This window comes from Homo sapiens, chromosome 10, assembly GCF_000001405.40.
Source record: "Homo sapiens chromosome 10, GRCh38.p14 Primary Assembly".
Lineage (NCBI taxonomy): Eukaryota > Metazoa > Chordata > Mammalia > Primates > Hominidae > Homo > Homo sapiens.
The window spans coordinates 32,655,448-32,681,270 of record NC_000010.11 but is presented as its reverse complement, the minus strand read 5'-3'; the positions used below and the strand labels follow the sequence as shown (position 1 = coordinate 32,681,270).

The window sequence follows — 25,823 nt, the reverse complement described above, 5'->3', positions numbered from 1 at the left end:
CCACAGACACAGGTCCAGTCAATTGGCCCACCACAAAATTCAGATATTAACTGACAAATTACTAGGCTGAAATAGCAGCTACTTCCAGCACAGCAATTACTTACTAGCTGAGAGAGTGATGAAAAAAAGTAGTAACTGAGGACTAATTCCTGGAAAATCTGAGCAAAGGCTTTCTTGAAGAGATCTTTTGTTAATGAAAACGGAATCTCAAAGGTGGAGACTGATGGGGCTCTCCAGGAAAGCACTCAGGGACATGTAGTAACCAAGGGGTGCTCACTGACTAGCGTACACATTGTAATAGTTCCTATGACTAAAACAAGTGTTATCACTCAGCTTCTTCCAGTGAATCTTTAAATGAGTCAGAGAGCCTGGTGAAATTTTCCCCAAATTCTCTCAGTTTTCAAAAGTGAACAAAAATATGGAGTAGATCAGGTCCTTATGTCCCCATTACCCAAGGACCTCTGCTAAGAAAAGTAATGAATTGGGAGATGGGAAAGAAGTACATTTTTTAAGCATTTTGAATAGTGGTGTCAAGATGACTGTGATCTTGACAACCCTTGACGCCAAGATGACAGGCAAATAGATAATGCTGTCTGGTTTTGGGTCTGAGGCCAACATCAAGAGGACCTTTACCCAGATAAGAAAATATGTGTGTCCCCAGGGTGGGGAACATCATATAGTGGGGCCTGTCGGGGGAGGGACAGCATTAGGAGAAATAGCTAATGTAAATGACGAGTTGATGGGAGCAGCAAACCAACATGGCACATGTACAGCTATGTAACAAACTTGCATGTTGTGCACATGTACTCTAGAACTTAAAGTATAATAAATTAAAAAAAAAAAGAAAGAACATATGTGTGTCCCTATGGGCCAACATAAACTCTCATTGGTATGGCCCCAACTAATGAAGGTCTTATGAATATAGATATATTATCTATGTGCAACCCCACTGACTTATCCAAGGCCTCATGGAAGGCTTATTTCCTTATTATTCCTTAACTTATTGCTGCAGTTAGAACCATTTCAGCAGGGCACAGGAAGACTGCGAACCTGCCCAATGTCCTATACTTACCACCTCTGTCTCCCATAATCTGTCTAGGAATAAAAAAGAAACAACTGCCTTCTTTGCTGAAGTTAATATAGAGAAAGTCTCCTTGAGATTATATCCCCATTCAATAACTCAGTACATCTAAGTGTAGGGCCTTGGATCAATAAAAGATTTTCAATTGATTTTGGCTGTTCAATCCAAACAACAGCTCTTTGGCCTTTGTCAATGGTATCTGACATTGTAAACATAATAGAAGCTATTGTCTAGAGTGTGAAAACTTACGTAACAATTCACACTGCACATGCCCCATTCAGTATCTATCTACATAGAGATGATTAGGATCAGTTTACCCTTGTATGGAATGGATAAAATTGACCACTAATATACTTAATTCCCTATCTGTCATCCATGCATAAACCATAACATAGAAAATGTCTCACTACCAGAGGAAGGACTAGCCTTCTAATCCATTCATGACACCATCCCAAACATGCAACCCCCCAAATAGGACTGGATGCTCTGTTGATGCACAGATGATAATTCTCTAAAGCATTATTACAAAGTACAAGTACCTAGTACCCAAGTGTAATTCCTGAGCATTATCTGTAAGGGGAATGTTGTCTTATTCCATGTGATAATACTGGCTCTGGCTCTCTCTGATCAAACAATTAAAAAGAAGATTAATGAGACTATTCGACTACTTACACTCTTGTATTGCCCATGTGGCAATCTTAATGCCATCCAACTATGGGGTTACAAGAAAGTTGTTTCCTTTATATGTGCCACAATCAGGAGGATGGCCTGGAGGTCCTCCAACAAGCAACCCAAACAGCACTACCCCTGGGCCACTCTGATATCCATTTACTGTTTGAGTAAGAGGTCTTCTGTTTGCCAATTGGAGGTTATGGCAGAAGGACACTGCCACAGGTCAGAGGAATCTATTGGGCTTTTGAACCTGTCATTTTCAGAAATACCTGAAAAGTATATACCCTTTAAGAGACAATTATTGGCCTTTTATTGGGCTTTGGTGAATTCTGAGCACACAACCCATGCTTGTGAAATAGTCTCAAGACAAGAAATTCCAACCAAAAGTTATCAATACTTTTATTTTCTAATTATCTTAGAGTATACATGCTTTAGGTCAAAGTTAAAAATTTCTATGAAACATATGCCCAAATACATATTCATGAATCAAAAAAAATTTCTGATAAGTTGAACTTAAAATAAATTAAAATAGGGGGATTGATGTAAGTAAGATCATGGAATAGGAGGCCCAGCCCTCTTTCTTCCACAAAAATGAAGACTTAACAACCAGACAAGGATAAAATTACCTTTATGAGACCTCTGGAATTCAAATGAGAGGCTACAGCACAGCAGTGGAACACAGAAACAAGGCAAAAGTGCAATTAAAGGATAATAAGAACAGTTTCATCTCTACTCATGTCACACCTTCCCCAAGCTGTCACAGCACAGTGCCAAGAGAGATCTCCTGGGCTTTTCAGTTTTCCCGTGGGGAATAAAGTGAGCATTGGACTTTTCCCAGCCTGTTATGGTATAACCTGAGAGGCCTACTTATACTGCACCACAATCAAAACACTCAGGGAATCAGCATGGCTAGATCACCTGAAGGTAGCTAAAAACCAAAAAAAAGAGGCAGGAAGAGGGGTGGTCAGAAGCTCTCAAGAAACAGTATGGATCCAATAGCTGACACACAAATCACAGCAGTAGGCTTGCCCACAAACCCTGAGAGCCAACACTCCTGTGGACCCTGACAGCTGACCTGCCCATGAACCCTGCTAATGGACCCACACAAACTCTGGCTGGGCTGTCTAGTGAAGGGCCAAAGCTAGCATGTAAAGATGCTTCTTTAAATGCACGTACATCAATGAAAATACAAGGATCATGAAGAATCAGGGCAATACAACCCCACGGGATGCTCTGTTGATGCACAGGTGATAACTCAAATAACAAAATATAGCTCAAATAAGAGATTCTTAAAAATGCAGATCTATGACCTCCCTGAAAAAGACATAAAAATAATGGCCTTAAACAAGCTCAGTGAACTAAAATAGAATACAGCTAGACAACCAAATAAAATTAGGGAAACAACACATGAACAAAAAATGAGAGATTCAACAAAGACTTACCAACCATAAAAATGTAAACCAACAGAAAGTCTGGAACAGAGGAACACAATGGATAAACTGAAAAATTTCATAGATAGCCTCAAAAGCAGACTTTATCAAGCAGAAGAAAATAGCAAAGCAACAAACTCTAAGACAGGTCCTTTGAAATTTCTTATTATGAGAAACAAAAATAAAAATAATGAAAAAGAGTGAAGAAATCCTATAAGATGTATGGGATACCATCATGTGAACCAATATATGCATATGGAAGTCCAAGAAGAAAGAGAGGGAAAATGGCAGAAGGCTTATTTAAAGAAATAATGAATACAGTTTTTTCAAATCTGAGGAGGAAAATGGACTTCCAGATACACGAAACACAAAGGATCCTAAATAGGTTGAATCTTAAGAAATTTACACTGAGACACATTAAATTGTCAAAACTCAAAGAAAATTTTGAAAATGGAAAGAAAAAAATGACATCACATACAAGATAAACCCATAAAACTATCAATAAGCTTTTCAGCACAAACCCTGCAGGCCAGAAGAGAATGAAATAATATATTCAAAGTACTGAATGAAATAAATGTCAACCAAGAATACTACACCCAGAAAAATTGTGCTTTAAAAGTTAAGCATAGATACTTTTCCAGACAAACAAAAATTTAGGGAGTTAATCAACACTAGACCAGCCTTACAAGGAGTGATAAAGGGAATTCTTTTTTTTTATTATTATTATACTTTAAGTTTTAGGATACATGTGCACAATGTGCAGGTTAGTTACATATGTATACATGTGCCATGCTGGTGTGCTGCACCCATTAACTCGTCATTTAGCATTAGGTATATCTCCTAATGCTATCCTTCCCCCCTCCCCCCACCCCACAACAGTCCCCAGAGTGTGATGTTCCCCTTCCTGTGTCCATGTGTTCTCATTGTTCAATTCCCACCTATGAGTGAGAACATGCGGTGTTTGGTTTTTTGTCCTTGCAATAGTTTACTGAGAATGATGATTTCCAATTTCATCCATGTCCCTACAAAGGACATGAACTCATCATTTTTTATGGCTGCATAGTATTCCATGGTATGTGCCACATTTTCTTAATCCAGTCTATCGTTGTTGGACATTTGGGTTGGTTCCAAGTCTTTGTATTGTGAATAGTGCCGCAATAAATATATGTGTGCATGTGTCTTTATAGCAGCATGATTTACAGACCTTTGGGTATATACCCAGTAATGGGATGGCTAGGTCAAATGGTATTTCTAGTTCTAGATCCCTGAGGAATCGCCACACTGCCTTCCACAATGGGTGAACTAGTTTACAGTCCCACCAACAGTGTAAAAGTGTTCCTATTTCTCCACATCCTCTCCAGCACCTGTTGTTTCCTGACTTTTTAATGATTGCCATTCTAACTGGTGTGAGATGGTATCTCATTGTGGTTTTGATTTGCATTTCTCTGATGGCCAGTGATGGTGAGCATTTTTTCATGTGTTTTTTGGCTGCATAAATGTCTTCTTTTGAGAAGTGTTTGCTCATGTCCTTCGCCCACATTTTGATGGGGTTGTTTGTTTTTTTCTTGTAAATTTGTTTGAGTTCATTGTAGATTCTGGATATTAGCCCTTTGTCAGATGAGTAGGTTGCGAAAATTTTCTCCCATTTTGTAGGTTGCCTGTTCACTCTGATGGTAGTTTCTTTTGCTGTACAGAAGCTCTTCAGTTTAATTAGATCCCATTTGTCAATTTTGGCTTTGTTGCCATTGCTTTTGGTGTTTTAGACATGAAGTCCGTGCCCATGCCTATGTCCTGAATGGTATTGCCTAGGTTTTCTTCTAGGGTTTTTATGGTTTTAGGTCTAACATTTAAGTCTTTAATCCACGTGAATTAATTTTGTATAAGGTGTAAGGAAGGGATTCTACATATGGCTAGCCAGTTTTCCCAGCACCATTTATTAAACAGGGAATCCTTTCCCCATTGCTTGTTTTTCTCAGGTTTGACAAAGATCAGGTAGTTGTAGATATGTGGCGTTATTTCTGAGGGCTCTGTTCTGTTCCATTGATCTATATCTCTGTTTTGGTACCAGTACCATGCTCTTTTGGTTACTGTAGCCTTGTAGTATAGTTGGAAGTCAGGTAGCGTGATGCCTCCAGCTCTGTTCTTTTGGCTTAGGATTGACTTGGTGATGCGGGCTCTTTTTTGGTTCCATATGAACTTTAAAGTAGTTTTTTCCAATTCTGTGAAGAAAGTCATTGGTAGCTGGATGGGGATGGCATTAAATCTATAAATTACCTTGGGCAGTATGGCCATTTTCACGATATTGATTCTTCCTTCCCATGAGCATGGAATGTTCTTCCATTTCTTTGTATCCTCTTTTATTTCATTGAGCAGTGGTTTGTAGTTCTCCTTGAAGAGGTCCTTCACGTCCGATAAAGGGAATTCTTAAAGTTGAAATGAAAGGATGCTCAACAGTAACACCAAAGTATATGAAAGTATAAATATCACTAGCAAGTAAACATATTGATAATCAGAAAATAATGTAATACTGTAATAGTGGTACATGAATCATTTTAACTCTAGTATAAAAGTTAAAAGCAAAAGTATTAAGGATAACTATAATCACAAAAATTGGTTAATGGATACAGAATATAAAGTAATTTTTGACATCAATAACCTAAAATGGGGGTGGAATAAAAATGTAAAATTTTTGTATACAATTGAAGTTAAGTTGTTAACAATTTAAAATAGATAACAATTTAAAATAGACCATTTTAACTTTATGGTAATCGTAACTGTAATTTTAACTTTATGGTAATCAAACCTCATGGTAATCGTAAAGAAAAACCTGTATCAGACACAAAAAAGATGAAAAGGAAATAAAGTATATCATTATAAAAAGTAATCAAATCACAAAGTAAAGCAGAAAGAGAGGAAGATAGGGCACAGCTATAAAACAGAGAGAAAACAATATAATTGCAATAGTAAGTCTTCACCTAGCAATAATAATTTTAAATATAAATAGGTTAAAGTTAACATTCAAAAGATACAGAGAAGCTGAAAGGATGAGAAAAGCAAGATCCACTATATGCTATTTGCAAGAGACTTGCTTTAGAGTTAAGGACAAACTGAACTAAAAGTGACGGGCTTAAACACTAAAAGAGAAGGAGAGGAAAAGATATCCCATGCAAACGGTATCAAAAAGAGAGCAGAAGTGGCTGTACTTAGATAACTAAGATGTCAAGAGACAAAAAAAAGGTCACCACACAAAAATAAAAGGGTCAATTCACCATTAAAATGGGCGACAGAGCAAGACTCCATCTCAAAAATATATATATGTATATAACAATGATAAATATACCTGTGTCCAACGTCAGAGCACATAAATACATAAGAAAAGTAATAATAGGTATGAAGAGAGAGACTTCAATACTCCACTTTCAAAAATGGATAGATCATCCAAACAGAAAATCAATAAACAACAGATCTGAACAACACTGTAGACCAAATGGACCTAACAGCCATTTAAAGAACATTCCATCCAAAAGCAGCGGAATACACACAATTCTCCTACACACTGAGATATTTACAGGATAAATCACATGCTATATCACAAAACAAGTCTTAAACATTTAAGAAAATTAAAACCATTACAAGATTATTTTCCAGTCACAATGGTATGAAACTAGAAATCAGTAATGAAAGAAAAATGGAAAAAAATCACAAATACATGAAAATTAAACAACAAATTTTGAACAACCACTGGATCAAGGAAGAAATCAAAAGGGAAATTAGAAACTATCTTGAGATTTTAAAAAATCCACAAAACTAAAATATACCAAAACTTACAGCAGGATGCAGCAAAAGCAGTACCATAAGGAAAGTTGATAATCACTATAAAAAATATTTCAAATGAACAACCTAACTTTACACTTCAAGGAAAAAGAAAAATAAGAAACTAAAGCCAAAGTTCACAGAAAAAAAAACAAAATTAGAACAGAAATAAATAAAATAGGAAAAAAATATAGAAAAAATTGATGAAAATGTGAGTTCGGTTTTTGAAAAGATAAAGAAAATTGACACACTATTAGCTAGATTAATTATTAAAAAGAGAAGACTCAAATAAATAAAACTAGATGAAAGAGGAGACACTACAACTGATGCCATGGAAATGAGAAAAGATCACAAATGACTATTATGAACAATTTATGGACCAACAAACTGGACAACAAAGAAGAAATTGTTAAATTCCTAGAACCTACCAATAACCTACCAAGACTGAATCAAGAAAAAATGGAAAACTTGAAAAGGTCAATAGTAAATAATAAGACTGATTCATGGTTTTCATGTTCAGAGATTCTGGTTACTGGTTCAGTCTCACTATTTGTTATTGATTTTTTAATGTAGAAAACCCTAAACTACACACACACACACACACACACACACACACACACGTGCACAATGGTTAGAACTAATAAATTCAGTAAAGGTACAGAATATAAAATTAACATACACAAATTGGTTTTGTTTTAATATACTAACAACGAACTATCCAAAAAGGAATTCAAAATCAATCCTACTTACAATCACATCAAAAAGGAAAAAATACTAGCAATACACTTATTCGAAAGGCAAAAGGCTTGTACACTGAAAACGATAATATATTGCTGAAAGAAATTAAAATGGAAAGACATCTTTTGTTCAAAATGGAAAAATTAATATTGTTACAATGCCCATACTACCCAAAGTGATGTACAATTCCTATCAAAATACCAATGGCACACTTTTACAGAAATTGAAATAACAATTCTAAAATTCATATGGAACCAAAAAACCCAAATAGTCAAAGCAATCTGGAGCAAGAAAAAAAAACTGGAGGCATCATACTTCCTGATTTTAAAACACATTACAAAGCTTATATTATAGTAAGTCAAAAATATGTACTGCCATAAAAGACATATACACCAATGTAACAGGGAGTCCAGAATTAATCCCTATGCACATATTGTGAACTTATCTTCTGCAAGGGTGGTAAGAATACACAAAAGGGAAAGCATAGTCTCCTCAATAGCATTGGGGAAACAGAGTATCCACATGGAAAAGAATGAAATTAAACTCTTACACTATACACAAAAAAATCAACCTTAGTAAAGTGGTTTAAAAAATAAATAAGGTAGGAAAGCACCAAGATGGCAGAGGAGATAGCAACCTTCATCCCTCCTGCTATGAAACAAATATAGACACCTTTCACAAACTACAATAGCCCAGAGAGGTGTCATGGGCACATTAATGAAACTGTAGCAACACAGTGGAGCACAATGTCCAAGTAGAAAGGATCTCTGGTGAGGTCAGCATATCTTAGACACCAGGAGATAGCTAGGAGCAAAGAAGAAAGGTGGAGGCTATGGGCATCAGCCATGCTGCTGGAACCACCATGGTTCCCAACGGCCTGATCCACCCAGGACACTGCCATTTCTTTCTACTGAGGTAACCAAGAGCCATCCCCACCAGGAAACCCCAGAAAGGGTGATGTGTCTGTACACTCCTCCTCCAAACAAGAATCAGCACTGTTAAGCCACTACTGGGAAAGAAGTCACCACCTCCTCTAACCCCATGTGTGCCCTGACCCAAAACATAGCCACTCTGCAAGTAACCACATTCCAGACCTGGGTTTTGTGTCTACATTGAACCCACCCACACCTCAGACATTGGGAATCGTTGTCACAGCAAGGTAGTTTGCATTCCAAATCCCAGAGCCACACGTTCACTGTGTGTGCCCATGCTCCAGACACTGGTTTAGCCATCATAGAGAGCTGGACTGTGCCCCAACTCCAGAGCAGCTCAAACTGTGTGGATATCAATATTCTCATTCTTAGCTGCCCAGCTATTTCACAGGAATCTGCACCTTGATTCTGTTACCAAGGTGGCAGCAGAGGTGCATGTGCCCTGGGCATAAGTGCTGTTACTGCCCTGGGTCCCAGAACCATGCTCCCTCCACACATTCCTGTGCTTCACATCTCAGTTCTGCAGCCACTCCATTGGCACCACTAATCAAATACTCATGCCACTACCAATGCAAGCAAGCTGACAAGTCAGACCCGGAACCAAGAGGGATTTTATCAGCAAAACTTCCTCACTGAGAGAAAAAGAAATCAGAAGAACTTTAATAGTCATTGCCACTGAAGACCCCAATAACCTTTGCCACAATTGCAAACATTCACAGCATTGGCTGCTGAGGATCCTCGAAATCTTTGTCATCACCAACCTCAGTTCCCAGAGCTACACAAAGGTGACACAACTCTCAATCTCATGAGTGCCAGAACTGCAGCAGCCCACCCAGCAAGCGCCCTCACACCCCTGTAGGAGAAGGTCTTTCAACAGCTAAACTAGTCAGAAGAGGCTACAAGAGGTGACTGCTGCACCAGATTTGCAGACATCAATGTAAAGCAACAAGAAACATGAAAAACTAAAGATACGACATGACCAAAACACCACAATAATCTCCTGAAGCTGATCCCAAAGAAATGCAGATATAAGAACTGCCTCATAAAAAATTCAAAACATTTTTTAGGAGGATCAGACAAGTTAGAAAAAATAGTTATGTGTGTCACTTAATGACAGGGATATGTCTTGAAACGTGTCATTAGGCAATTTTATCATTGCATAAACCTACATGGTATAGCCTACTACACACCTAAGTTATATGATATAGTCTACTGCTCCTATGCTATAAAGCTGTACAGTATGTTACTATACTAAATACTGTATTCAATTTGAATAAAATGGTAAATATTTGTATATCTAAACAGGAAAATTAGAAAAACATAGCACAAATATGGTATAAAGGTTTTAAAACTGATATACCTGTATAGAATACTTACCATCAAGGTAGCTTGCAGAACTAAGAGTTACTCTGAGTGAGTGAGTAAGTGAGTGGTGAATGTCAAGGCCTAGGACATTACTGTGCACTACTGTAGACTTAATAAACACTGTACACTTGGGTTACACTAAATTTTGAATGAATTTTCTTTATTCAATAATAAATTAACCTGAGTTTACTGTAACTTTTTATTTAATAAACTTTTAATGTTTTTTACTTTTTTACTCTTTTGTAATGACACAGCTTAAAACACAAACACACTGTACAATTGTACCATTTATAGAACTAAAAGCCCACATTAAATAAAAGATCCCAAATAAACAACCTAATGTTACACCACAAGGAACTAAGGAAAATAGAACAAACTAAACCCAAAGTTTATAGAAGGAAGAAAATAATAAAGCTCATGGAAGAAATAAACAAAATAGATACTAGAAAAACAATAGAAGGGAGAAAAAAACAATAGAAAAGATCAACAAAACTAAGAGTTGGTATTTTGAAATGATGAGTTCACGTCCTTTGTAGGGACATGGATGAAATTGGAAATCATCATTCTCAGTAAACTATCGCAAGAACAAAAAACCAGACACCGCATATTCTCACTCATAGGTGGGAATTGAACAATGAGAACACATGGACACAGGAAGGGGAACATCACACTCTGGGGACTGTTGTGGGGTGGGGGGAGGGGGGAGGGATAGCACTGGGAGATATACCTAATGCTAGATGACGAGTTAGTGGGTGCAGCGCACCAGCATGGCACATGTATACATATGTAACTAACCTGCACATTGTGCACATGTACCCTAAAACTTAAAGTATAATAATAATAAATTTAAAAAAAAAAGAAAGTAAATAAAAGTATAGGAAATCAACAGGAAGCAACTTAGAATGGTTTTCTATAAAAAACAACGAAATCATCTACCCTTAAAAAATCCTATGAACTGTTGACTGGGGAGTTCGGTAATGTTTGGATTGTATTCATTAAGACACAGCCTCAACAGACAAGGACTATTAAAACATATAATCAAATAAATTGCATTGTCTTCATTATAAAGAAAGAATATATTAACGAAAAGGGAATGATCCAGAGGGAAGACAGTAAAGGGTCTCTAAGAGGAAAGAACCCAGGACAACCCAGGAAAGGACATGTCCCGACCCCAGAAATAAGTATCCAATCCCTCTTACAAACGTGCCCCAAGCGAAGATGGATGTAATAGACATTTGATCATCCAATTCATTCTCCCTGGATTGACTCCATGCTCACCAAGCAAACGTCTGATTATAATTTGTCCTTTTATGTAATTTTACTGAGAAGAAAGAGAATTCACGTATAACAATACAAACATTCTACTGTCCCTGAAAGTTAAATATTTAAAATGATGAGTTAATAAATTAGAATTATGGACAACAACAACAACAAAAAAAGAAAAGACAAAATCAATGAATCTTTAATGAAACTAACAAAGAGAAAAGACTCAAAACCAGGAATAAAAGAAGAACTGTCACAACTGATGACACAGAGATACAAAAGATCATGAGAGACTACTATGAATAACTATATGGCACCAATTTCAATAACCGTGAAGAAATGAATAATTCCTAGACACATGCAACCTACCATGACTAAATCATGAAGAAGAGAAATATGAATAAACTAATAATGAGTAAGGTGATTAAATCACTAATATAAACTATTCTATTAAAGAAAAGCTAAGACCTCATGGATACACTACTAAATTCTACCCAATGTTTTAAGAAGAATTAATGCTAATGCCCCTCAAATGTTTCAAAAAAATAGAAGAAGAGAGATCACTTCCAAACTCATTTTAGGAGGCCAGCATTACTGATACCAAAGCCAGACAAGGACACTACAAGAAAAGACAAAGGCCAATATCTCTGATGATCATGCAAAACCTCAACAAAATACTAACAAACTAAATTCGACAGCACATTCAAAGAAGAATTCACCATGATCAAGTGTGGTTTATCTCCTGGGTGCAAGGATGGTTCAACATAAAGCAATAAATGTGATACATCACATTAACAGAATGAAGGACAAAAACCACATGATAATCTCAATAGATGCAGAAAAAACATCCAGTAAAATTCCAAATCATTTCAAAATAAAAATTTTAAACCAGTTAGGTATAGGAGGATTGTACCTCACCACAATAAAAGCCATATACAACAAACAAGCCACAGCTAACATTATACTTAATGGTAGTAAGTTGAGAGCGTTTCTTCTAAGATAAGAAACAAGACAAGGATGCTTATTCTTACCACTTCTATTCTACAGAACACTGGCAGCCCCAGGCAAATAAATTATGAAAGAAAAAGAAACAGAAGGCATTCAAATTGGATGGGGGAAGTAAAATTATCTTGGTCAGATAACATAAACCAATATATAGAAAACTCTGACGAACATTGATGCAAAAATTCTCAATAAAATACTGTCAAACCGATTCCAGCAGCACATCAGGAAGCTTATCCACCATGATCAAGTGGGCTTCATCCCTGGGATGCAAGGCTGGTTCAACATACACAAATCAATAAATGTAATCCAGCATATAAACAGAACCAAAGACAAAAACCACATGATTATCTCAATAGATGCAGAAAAGGCCTTTGACAAAATTCAACAGCCCTTCATGCTAAAAAATTCTCAATAAATTAGGTATTGATGGGACATATCTCAAAATAATAAGAGCTATCTATGACAAATCCACAGCCAATATCATACTGAATGGGCAAAAACTGGAAGCATTCCCTTTGAAAACTGGCACAAGACAGGGATGCCCTCTCTCACCACTCCTATCCAACATAGTGTTGGAAGTTCTGGCCAGGGCAATCAGGCAGGAGAAAGAAATAAAGGGTATTCAATTAGGAAAAGAGGAAGTCAAATTGTTCCTGTTTGCAGATGACATGATTGTATATCTAGAAAACCCCATCATCTCTGCCCAAAATCTCCTTAAGCTGATAGGCAACTTCAGCAAAGTCTCAGGATACAAAATCAATGTGCAAAAATCACAAGCATTCTTATACACCAATAACAGACAAACAGAGAGCCAAATTATGAGTGAACTCCCATTCACAATTGCTTCAAAGAGAATAAAACACCTGGGAATCCAACTTACAAGGGACGTGAAGGACCTCTTCAAGGAGAACTACAAACCACTGCTCAATGAAATAAAAGAGGATACAAACAAATGGAAGAACATCCCATACTCATGGGCAGGAAGAATCAATATCGTGAAAATGGCCATACTGCCCAAGGTAATTTATAGATTCAATGCCATCCCCATCAAGCTACCAGTGACTTTCTTCACAGGATTGGAAAAAACTACTTTAAAGTTCATATGGAACCAAAAAAGAGCCTGCATTGCCAAGTCAATCCTAAGCCAAAAGAACAAAGCTGGAGGCATCACGCTACCTGACTTCAAACTATACTACAAGGCTGCAGTAACCAAAAGAGCATGGTGCTGGTACCAAAACAGAGATATGGACCAATGGGACAGAACAGAGCCCTCAGAAATAATACCACACATCTACAACCATCTGATCTTTGACAAACCTGAGAAAAACAAGAAATGGGGAAAGGATTCCCTATTTAATAAATGGTGCTGGGAAAACTGGCTAGCCATATGTAGAAAGCTGAAACTGGATCCCTTCCTTACACCTTATACAAAAATTAATTCACGTGGATTAAAGACTTAAATGTTAGACCTGAAACCATAAAAACCCTAGAAGAAAATCTAGGCGATACCATTCAGGACATAGGCATGGGTAAAGACTTCATGTCTAAAACACCAAAAGCAATGGCAACAAAAGCCAAAATTGACAAATGGGATCTAATTAAACTGAAGAGTTTCTGCACAGCAAAAGAAACTACCATCAGAGTGAACAGGCAGCCTACAGAATGGGAGATAATTTTTGCAATCTACTCATCTGACAAAGGGCTAATATCCAAAATCTACAAAGAACTTAAACAAATTTACAAGAAAAAATCAAACAAACCTATCAAAAAGTGGGCAAAGGATATGAACAGACACTTCTCAAAAGAAGACATTTATGCAGCCACATGACAAAATGCTCATCATCACTGGCCATCAGAGAAATGCAAATCAAAACCACAATGAGATACCATCTCACACCAGTTAGAATGGTGATCATTAAAAAGTCAGGAAACAACAGGTGCTGGAGAGGATGTGGAGAAATAGGAACGCTTTTACACTGTTGGTGGGACTGTAAACTAGTTCAACCATTGTGGAAGGCAGTGTGGCAATTCTTCAAGGATCTAGAACTAGAAATACCATTTGACCCAGCCATCCCATTACTGGGTATATACCCAAAGGATTATAAATCATGCTGCTATAAAGACACATGCACACGTATGTTTATTGTGGCACTATTCACAATAGCAAAGACTTGGAACCAACCCAAATGTCCAACAATGATAGACTGAATTAAGAAAATGTGGCACATATACACCATGGAATAATACGCAACCATAAAAAAGGATGAGTTCATGTCCTTTGTAGGACATGGATGAAGCTGGAAACCATCATTCTCAGCAAACTATCGCAAGGACAAAAAACCAAACACTACATGTTCTCACTCATAGGTAGGAATTGAACAATGAGAACACTTGGACACAGGAAGGGGAACATCACACACTGGGGCCTATCATGGGGTGGGGGGAGGGGGGACCGATAGCATTAGAAGTTATACCTAATGTAAATGACAAGTTAATGGGTGCAGCACACCAACACGGCACATGTATATATATGTAACAAACCTGCACGTTGTGTACATGTACCCTAGAACGTAAAGTATAAAAAAAACAAAAGAAATACTAAGTCCAACCTTGCAGGATTATTGTGTATGTTAGAAAAATATTATGTTCTTCCTACTGCCGTACCTGGTATTTATTAGTAATTCAGTAAATGATAGCTATTTATATTATTATCTTTGTAATCTACCTTCTCTTCATCATCTTTAGGTCTCAGTGTAAATCAAAGGGAATAACATTGCTTATTCCAAAGGACTACCACAAGGACTAAATAACACCGGTGAAACTTCTTTGTCAATGAAAAAAAAAAAAAAAAGAAAAAGAATACTCTAAAGACTCCACCAAAAAACTATTAGACCAAATGATTAAATTCATAAAATTTTCAGGGTAGAAAGTCAACACACAAACATTAGTAGTGTTCCTATACTCTAACAATGAACTGTCTGAAAAAGAAGTCAAAAAGTAATCTCATTTACAATATCTACAAAAAATTAAGTTCCTAGGAATAAATTTAAACAAGGAGGAAAAAAAGTTCTACAATGAAAACTATAAAACATTAGTAAAAGAAGTTTAAGAAAGCACAAATAAATAAAAAGATATCCCATGTTCCTGGATTGGAAGAATTAATATTGTTAAAATGCCCATCAGTTATGAATTTAATCCCTATCAAAATCCCAGCAACATTTTTTGACAGAAATAGAAAAAATCCAAAAATTCATATGTAACCATAAAAGACGCTGAATAGCCAAAGCAATCTTGAGCAAGAAAAACAAAGCTGGAGGCACTGTACATCCTAATTTTAAAACATATTATTTAGCTACAGCAAACAAGACAGCATGGTACTGGTACAAAAACAGACATGTAGATCACTGGAATAAAATATACAATGGTGTTGAAAAACTAGATATCCACATGCAGAAGAATAAAATTATACCTTCATCTCACACTATATACAAAAATCAACTCAAATTGGATTAAGGACACATAAATTTAGGATCTGAAACTAGAATTGCTAGAAGAAAATATGGGAAACACTCAATTATGTTGATCTGGGCAAAGATTTTTTTAATATGACCCCAAAAGCAAGGTAATAAAAGCAAAAATAAGTAAATGGTATTAAACCAAACTAAAAAGCTCTGCACAGCAAAGCAAACAATCAACAGTAGGAATAAATAGCCTATTGCATGAGAGAAAGTATTTCCAAATCATAAATCTGATAAGCAGTTAAGATCCAATTTATAGAAGCAGCTCAAACAACTCAATAGTTAGAAAACAATCAACGCAAATAAAAGATGAGTATGGGATCTGAATAGACATTTCTCTAATGAAGACATGCAAATAGCCAACAGGTATATGAACAAGTGTTCAACATCACTAATCATCAGGGACATGCAAATTAAAACCACAATGAAATATCACTTCCCACACACTAAAGTAACTATTATCAAAAAGATGGAAGAGAAGTGCTGGCAAAGATGTGAAGAGAAGGGAACACTTGTACACTGTTGGTGGGAATGTAAATTAGTAAAGCCATAATGGAAAACACTACAGGGATTCCTCAAAAAATTAAAAATAGAACTACAATATTATCCACAATTTCACCTCTGGATGTACCTCCAAAGGATATGAAATCAGTATATAAAAGAGATATTTGTACTCCCATGTTCACTGTAACATTACTCACAATAACCAAGATACGGAATCAAACTTAGTGTCCAGCCACAGATCAATAGATAACGAAAATCACCCTTAAAAAAAGGAAGTAAATTTTGTCTTTTGTGATAATATGGATGAATGTGGAGAACATAATGTTAAATAAAGTAAGCCAGTCACTAAAAACAAATACTGCATTATCTTACCTATATGAGGAGTTTTAAAAAGTCAAGTTCATAGGAACAGAGAGTAAAATGTTGGTTATAAGAGGCTGATGGTGGGAGGACTGAAGCAATGTTGGTCAAAGGACACACATTTCAGCTGGAAATGAGAAACGTTTAAGAGATCTACTGCACTTCATGAGTACTGTTAATAATAACATATTGCAAAATTGCTAAGAGAAATTTTAAGTCTTCTCAATATAAAAAAATAACAAGGTAATATACATGTTAAATAGCTTGATTTTATTTTCCACAATTTATATTTAAATTCCACAATTTATTATTCCACAATTTATATATTAAAACACTATGTAGTACATGATGAATGTATATAATTTTTACTTGCCAATTAAAAATAAATCTTAAATTATTTTAAGGTTATCTACAATTATTACACTTACTACTGAGTTGATTATCTTGGAAAGATTTTTGTTTCTTTACTTCTACTTCCGTTTTTGACTTTGTGTCTTGTTCAAGCATAAGATTTTCTTCTGGTACATCATTATGAGCTACACAAATTAATAAATTTAGTGCACTAAACATAAACTATAGTGAAATTTCTAGATTTCAGATTTATAACAAGTATACAGCCATATTCTGTCTCATTTTTATACATGTAAAATATAAGTAAATTACTATAATTCTAGATCTGACATGAAAATAGTGACAAGAACTTTAAAGGATCTGAGGTGAAGTAGTCTCATTATTTTGATATTTCTTGGCATCAAATATTTATATTAGCCTCTACTTGTTCTTAATTATTTATAATTTAGATTAATATATATTCATAGGCAAAGCAATGAAAATTCATATGTGCAAGTTTATTCATTACAGCATACTTTTAATTACAAAATACTCAAAATCACTTAAATGTACAAGCATATGAAATTGGTTAATAAAAAGGTATATATTATAATTTGTGGTATTATCAACTACAATATTTAATATGATACAAAGAGTTGTACAGGAAGCTCTAAAAGTAATAAAAAGATTGTTACAACCTGATTTAGAGGGATTTATAGAAGGTAATGTTAAGTGAGAAAAAATTGAAATAGAAGAAAGATATCAAGTATGCTATCCATTAGGAAATAAATGTAAAGAGATACTTACTTTTAGAAATTGAAACACAGGAAAGATAAACCAGAAAACAAAGTAGTTGGTGACCAAAATTTGCATAGACCCTACATGCAAAATTGCATCCAATGACCATTGTTAAATCTAAGCATGTTCCTAGCACTGAGTGTCTACAATGCATGTTTTCATGTTTTATTCATTTTTCCATGTGTGATGAAAAAGTATGTAGAGTCCTCATGATCATATTGCACACCAATCAAAAGAGACCATAGAAGAGATGTGAATAGTTCACCTTTACCTTAAATGAGTTACTCTCGTTAGATTTAATTAGGGACAGTGGCACTTATGAGGTGTGTCACTGCAGACCTCCTTATTCAGAATGTCCTTCCATGGCCACTTTGCCCAAGAAGGATGAAGAAGTGGGTAGGGGGAAAGTGTTACATACATATGAGAACCTCTCTTTTCTTAGCTGGCTGCTATTCGGCCTCTGACTAATTTGGTCCAACTGTGGTGAGTTCCCTGCCACTGAAAAACCTTTTCTGATCACTCTTCCAGTCACCTCCAAAGTGCCCTGAAAGCTACCTGATAGTCTCTTACTTCAGCAATAAGGAGTAAGAACAACAGAAGACAAATAAGATCATTTACCAAACTCAGACCTAGGTTCATTTGTGCTACTCTCATTGGTTATCTAGCTCAATTGAACTTGATGATGTGAAATAGTTAGCAGCACAATCCAGATCTTAACTGAAAAATTTCCATGCCAGACAAAAGAACCTACTGCCAAGACACCAGTATTTCATTAGCAGTCAGAGTGATGTAAAAATGTAACTGGGCACTCACTCCTGGACCATTTGTTTAAGTCCCTTCTCAAAGACATCTATGGCTCTAGTTGCTCAACAATAAGGTCTCAAGGAAGAGATTGAGGGGCTCTCCATTAGATGCTTATCATCATTTAATAGTCATGGGGGCACAACACAGAGCCCCACTACAGTCCAAATAGTGAGGTCTCCTGTAGCTAATAAAAGCGCTATCCTGGATACCCAAAGTGGTGGAGCAAGATGGTCAAATAGAAGGTTACACCAATTATCCCTCTTGCAGGAACAACAAATTTAAAACTATCTATACAGGAAAAAGCACCTTAGTAGGAACCAAAAATCTGCTGAACACTCACAGTATCTGGTTTTAACTTCATATTGTTGAAAGAGGCACTGAAGAGGGTAGAAAGGACAGTCTTGAATTGCTAATGCCATCCCTCCCCCATTGCTCAGCAGTGTCCGCCTGGTGCAGAGAGAAATTATTTGTGCTCTTTGAGAGAAACAGTGCAGTGATTGTGAGACTTTGCATTGAACTCAGTGCTACCCTGTCATGGCAGAAAGAAAAATCAAGCTAAACTCAGCTGATGCCCACCTATGGAGAGAGGCCAAAAGGGAATTGCATATCCCTGCTGTTGGAACTTGAGTTCTGGCAAGCCTTACCACCATGGGCTAAAAGTTCCCTGGAACTTAACTTCAAAGGCAATATAGGCCACAAGGACTGCAACTCCTAGGCAAGTCCTAGTGCTGAGCCGGATTCAGAGCCAGTGGACTTAGGGGGCATCTACTGAGACACCAGCCAGGACAGCTAAAGGAGTGCTGTGCCACCCCTACTCCAAACCCAGGCAGTGCAACTCACAGCTCCAAAAAAGACCTTCTTCTTGAGGAGAAGAGAGGGATGAATAAAAAAGATTTCATCTTGTATCTTGGATACCAGCTCAGCCACAGTAGGATAGGGCACTGGGCAGAATTTTGAGGCCTCCGTTCCAGGCCTTAGTTCCTGGATGACACTTCTAGACACATCCTGGGCCAAAAGGGAACTTGCCACCTTCAAGAGAAGAATTCAGTCCTGGCAAGATCTATCACCTGCTGACTAAAGAGCCCTTGGGCCCTGAATAATCAGCAGCAAGATCTCGGTAGTATGCTATGGGCATCAGGTGAGACTCTGAGATATGCTGGCTTCAGGTGAGACCCAGCACATTTCCAACTGTGGTGGCTATGGTAAGAAACTCCCTCTGCTTAAGAAAAACAGAGGAAAAATTGCCACACTGACTTCCACAATGGTTGAACTAGTTTACAGTCCCACCAACAGTGTAAAAGTGTTCCTATTTCTCCACATCCTCTCCAGCACCTGTTGTTTCCTGACTTTTTAATGATTGCCATTCTAACTGGTGTGAGATGGTATCTCATTGTGGTTTTGATTTGCATTTCTCTGATGGCCAGTGATGATGAGCATTTTTTCATGTGTTTTTTGGCTGCATAAATGTCTTCTTTTGAGAAGTGTCTGTTCATGTCCTTCGCCCACTTTTTGATGGGGTTGTTTTTTTCTTGTAAATTTGTTGGAGTTCATTGTAGATTCTGGATATTAGCCCTTTGTCAGATGAGTAGGTTGTGAAAATTTTCTCCCATTTTGTAGGTTGCCTGTTCACTCTGATGGTAGTTTCTTTTGCTGTGCAGAAGCTCTTTAGTTTAATTAGATCCCATTTGTCAATTTTGGCTTTTGTTGCCATTGCTTTTGGTGTTTTAGACATGAAGTCCTTGCCCATGCCTATGTCCTGAATGGTAATGCCTAGGTTTTCTTCTAGGGTTTTTATGGTTTTAGGTCTAACGTTTAAGTCTTTAATCCATCTTGAATTGATTTTTGTATAAGGTGTAAGGAAGGGATCCAGTTTCAGCTTTCTATATATGGCTAGCCAGTTTTCCCAGCACCATTTATTAAATAGGGAATCCTTTCCCCATTGCTTGTTTTTCTCAGGTTTGTCAAAGATCAGGGATCTAGAACTGGAAATACCATTTGACCCAGCCATCCCATTACTGGGTATATACCCAAAGGACTATAAATCATGCTGCTATAAAGACACATGCACACGTATGTTTATTGCGGCATTATTCACAATAGCAAAGACTTGGAACCAACCCAAATGTCCAATAATGATAGACTGGATTAAGAAAATGTGGCACATATACACCATGGAATACTATGCAGCCATAAAAAATGATGAGTTCATGTCCTTTGTAGGGACATGGATGAAATTGGAAATCATCATTCTCAGTAAACTATCGCAAGAACAAAAAACCAAACACCACATATTCTCACTCATAGGTGGGAATTGAACAATGAGAACACATGGACACAGGAAGGGGAACATCACACTCTGGGGACTGTTGTGGGGTGGGGGGAGGCGGGAGGGATAGCATTGGGAGATATACCTAATGCTAGATGACGAGTTAGTGGGTGCAGCGCACCAGCATGGCACATGTATACATATGTAACTAACCTGCACAATGTGCACATGTACCCTAAAACTTAAAGTATAATATTAAAAAAAAAGAAAAAAAAAAGAAAAACAGAGGAAAAAGTAAAGAGGACTTTGTCTTGTACCTTAGGTACCCACTCAGGCAAAAAGCAGTGAGCACCAAACAGGCACGTACATGTGCACACGTCTTTATAGGAGAATGATATCTATTCCTTTGGGTATATACCCAGTAACGGGATTGCTGGGCTAAATGCTATTTCTGTTTTTAGGTCTTTGATGAATCACCATACTGTCTTCCACAATGGTTGAACTAATTTACACTCCCACCAACTGTGTATAAGTGTTCCTTTTCCTTTGCAACTTTGCCAGCATCAGTTCTTTTTGGGCTTTTTAGTAATAGCCATTCTGATTGGTGTGAGACGGCATCTCATGGTTTTCATTTGCATTTCTCTAATGATCAGTGATGTTAAGCTTTTTTTATATGATTGTCGGCCACATGTATGTCTTCTTTGGAAGTGTCCATTCATGTCTTTTGCCCACTTTTTAATGGGGTTGTTTGTTGTTGTTGCTGTTTATTTTTTTGTAAATGTGTTTTAGTTTCGTATAGATGCTGGATATTAGACCTTAAACATAACTTTCATATGGACCATGAAACAAAAAATGTGTAACTTGCTTTATTGTGATATTTGCTTTATTGTGGTGTTCTAGAACTGAACCTGCAGTATCTCCAAGGTATGACTTTGGTCATATTTTAGGCCATAAAATAAGTCTTAACAAATTTTAGAAGGCTGAAATCATATCAATTATCTTTTCTTACCACAATGGTATAAAACTAGAAATCAATCACAGGAAATTTTTCAGAAAATTCAAAATGTGGGAAAATTTAGTGGCACACTCCTGGATAACCAATGAGTCAATGAGAAAATAAAAAGGAAAATCAAAAATATCTCAAGATAAACTAAAATGGAAACACAACATAACAAAACATGAAATGATGCAAAAGCAGTCCTAACAGGAGGTTTATAGCAATGAATGTCTACATTAAGAAAAAAAGAAAGACCTCAAATCCAAAAATCTAGTACATGTCATGGAACACTAAAAACAAAGAGCAAACTAAGTCCACAGTTAATAGGAGGAAGGAAATAATGAAGATCAGAGCAGAACTAAATGCAATAGAGACTAGAAAAACTCTAGAAATGGTCAACAAAACTAAGAGCTTATTCTTTGAAAGGATAAACAAAATTGGCAAAATTTTAGCTATACAAAAAAGAAAATTCAAATAAATACAATTATAAATGAGAGATGAGACATTACAACTGACCACAGAAATACAAAAAATTATGACTATTATGAACAATTATACACCAAAAATTGAATAATCTAGAACAAATGTATAAATTCATAGAAATATGTAACTTACCAAGACTGCAATATATGTCTTTATGGGCCTGGATTATTTCACTTAGCATAATATCCTCCAGGTTCATCGATGCCGTTGCAACTGACAGAACTTCTTTATTTAAGGCCACATAATATTTCGTTGTGTATATATACAGCACATTTTTATCTATTCATTTGTCAAAGGACACTGATATGGTTTGTGTGTGTCCCCACCCAAATCTCATATTGAATTGTAGTTTCCATAATCCCCATGTGTCATGGGAGGGACCCAGCAGGAGGTAATTGAATGATGAGGGCGCCAACCTCCATGCTATTCTCATGATAGTAAATGAGTTCTTACGAGATATGAATGGTTTTATAAGAGGTTTTTCCCCCTTTGCACAGCACTTCTCTCTCCTGCCACCTTGTGAAGGAGGATGTCTTTGCTTCTCCTTCCACCATAATTGTAAGTTTTCTGAGGCCATCCCAGCCATGTGGAACTGTGAGTAAATTAACTTCTTTTCTATAAATTACCTAGTCTCAGGTATTTCTTCATAGCAGTTTGAGAATGAACTAATATAGTAAATTGGTACCACAGTAGTGAGGCACTGCCATAAAGATAACCAAAAATGTAGAAGCAACTTTGGAACTAGGTAACAGGCAGAGGTTGGAGCAGTTTGGAGGACTTAGAAGGCAGGAAGATGTGGGAAAGTTTGGAACTTCCTGGAGACTTGTTAAATGGCTTTGGCCAAAATGCTGATAGTGATATGGACAATGAAGTCCAGCCTGAGGTGGTCTCAGATGGAGATGAAGAAGTTGTTCGGAACTGGAATAAAGGTGACTCTTGCAATACTTTAGCAAAGAGACTGGTAGCATTTTGCCCCTGCCCTACAGATCTGTGGAATTTTGAACTTGAGAGAGATGATTTATGGTATCTGGCAGAAGAAATTTCTAAGCAGCAAAGTGTTCAAGAGGAAGCAGAACATAAAAGTTTGAAAAATTTGCAGCCTGATGATGCAATACAAAAGAAAAACCCATTTTCTGGGGAGAAATTCAAGCCTGCTGCAGAAATTTCCATAAGTAACGAGGAGCTAATGTTAATCACCAAGACAATGGGGAAAATGTCTCCAAGTCATGTCAGAGACCTTCACAGCAGCCCCTCCCATCACAGGCCCAGAGGCCTAGGAGGAAAAAATGGTTTCCTGGATCAGGCCCAGGTTCCCCTGCTCTGTGCAGCCTCAGGACATGGTGCCCTACATCCCAGCTGCTTCACCTCCAGCCATTCCTGAAATAGACCAATGTACAGCTCAGACCATTGCTTCAGAGGGTGCAAGCCCCAAGCCTTGGCAGCTTCCACATGGTTTTGAGCCTGCAGGTATAAAGAAGTCAAGAATTGAGATTTGGGAACTTCTGCCTAGATTTCAGAGGATGTACGGAAATGTCTGGATGTCCAGGCAGAAGTTTGCTGCAGGTGGGGAGCATTCACGGAGAACCTCTGCTAGGGCAGTGTAGAAGGGAAATGTGGAGTTGGAGCCCCCACACAGAGTCCCCACTGGGGCACTGCCTAGTAGAGCTGTGAGAAGAGGGCCACTGTCCTCCAGACCCCAGAATGGAAGATCCACTGACAGCTTGCATCATGTGCCTGGAAAAGCTGGAGACACTCAAGGCCAGCTGTGAAGGCACCTGGGAATGGGGCTGTACCCCACAAAGCCACAAGGGTGGAGCTGCCTAAGGCCACGGAAGCCCACCTCTTGCACCAGTGTGCCCTGGATGTGAGACATGAAGTCAAAGAAGATCATTTTGGAACTTTAAAATTTAATGACTGCCCTATTGGATTTTGAACTTGATTGGGGCATGTAGCCTCTTTGTTGTGGCCAATTTCTCCTATTTGGAATGGGTGTATTTACCCAGTGCATGTTCCCCCATTGTATCTGGAAAGTAAGCCTTTGATTTCACAGGGTGATAGGCAGAAGGGACTTGCCTTGTCTCACAAGTACTTAGACTTTTGAGTTAATGCTGGAATAAGTTAAGACTTTGGGGGACTGTTGGAAGGGCATGATTGTGTTTTGAAATGTGAGGACATGAGATTTGGGAGGGGCCGGGTGGAATGATATGGTTTGGCTCGCCGCACCCAAATCTCATCTTGAATTGTAGCTCCCATAATCCCCACATGACATGGGAGGGACCCAGTGGGAGGTGACTGAATCACGGGGGCAGTTACCCCCATGCTATTCTCATGATTGTGAGTTATCACAAGATCTGATGGTTTTCTGAGGTGCTTTCCCCCTTTGATTGGCACTTCTCTCTCCTGCTGCCTTGTGAAGAAGGATGTGTTTGCTTCCCCTTCTGCCATGATTGTAAGTTTCCTGAGGCCACCCAGCCATGCAGAACTGTGAGTCAAGTAAATCTCTTTTCTTTATAAATTACCCAGTCTCAGGTATTTCTTCATAGCAACATAAGAATGGACTAACACAGACACTTAAGTTGATTCCACATCTTGTCTACTGTGAATAATGCTGCAATAAACATAGGATTGCTGATATCTCTTTGACATACTAATTTAATTTCTTTTGACTGTATGCCCAGAAATGGAACTGCTGGATCTGATGGTAATTCTGTTTTTAATTTTTTGAGGAACTGCCATAATAAATATAAAACAATAAAACTACTAGAAGAAAACGTAGGGAAAAATCTCCCTGACATTGGTCTTAGCAATGATTTTTTTAATACAACCCCAAAAGCAAAAATAGAATAAGATTGTATCAAACTAAACAGTTCCTGCACAGAAAACAAAACTATCAACAGTATGAAGAGACAACCTACAGAATGGGAGAAGATGTTTGCAAACTATAGATCTGATAAGGAGTTAATAGTCAAAATACGTAAGGAATGCAATCAATTCAATATTAAGAAGCAACCCAATTTAAAGATGTACAAAAAGCCTAATACATATTTCTCAAAAGAAGACATATAGGCCAGACATCGTGGCTAATGCCTGTAATCCCAGCACTTTGGGAGGCCAAGGTAGGTGGCTCACTTGAGATCAGGAGTTTGAGACCAGCCTGGCCAACATACAGTGAAACCCCATCTCTACTAAAAAATACAAAAATTAGCTGGACATGGTGGCACGCACTACTTGGGTGGCATCCCAAGTAGTTCCAGCTACTTGGGAAGTTGAGGTAGGAGAATCACTTGAACCCAGAATGTGGAGGTTGCAGTGAGCCAAGATCACACCACTGCACTCCAGCCCAGGCAACAGAGCAAGACTCTGTCTCTCAAAAACAAACAAACAAAAAAGACACATAAATAGTCAACAAGTATATGAAAAAATGCTCAACATTTTTAATCATCAGGGAAATGCAAATTAAAGCC

General features: G+C 37.4%; 1 protein-coding gene across 46 annotated transcripts in view; it reads right to left on the bottom strand.

The window, feature by feature from the left end:
• CCDC7 (coiled-coil domain containing 7) overlaps positions 1 to 25,823 on the bottom strand; it is a 439,541-nt gene that overhangs the window by 201,594 nt on the left and 212,124 nt on the right. For 40 of the 46 annotated variants that reach the window (XM_047425743.1, XM_047425742.1, NM_001321115.2 and 37 more), the window contains one exon: positions 17,110 to 17,217. The exons of 5 other annotated variants lie outside the window; for them this stretch is intronic. In XM_047425743.1, the coding sequence (XP_047281699.1) occupies positions 17,110 to 17,217 (108 nt within the window). Of the gene's footprint in view, positions 1 to 16,773; positions 16,809 to 17,109; positions 17,218 to 25,823 lie in introns of those variants that run through there. One more of the 46 variants, XM_011519688.3, reaches the window with a different exon arrangement.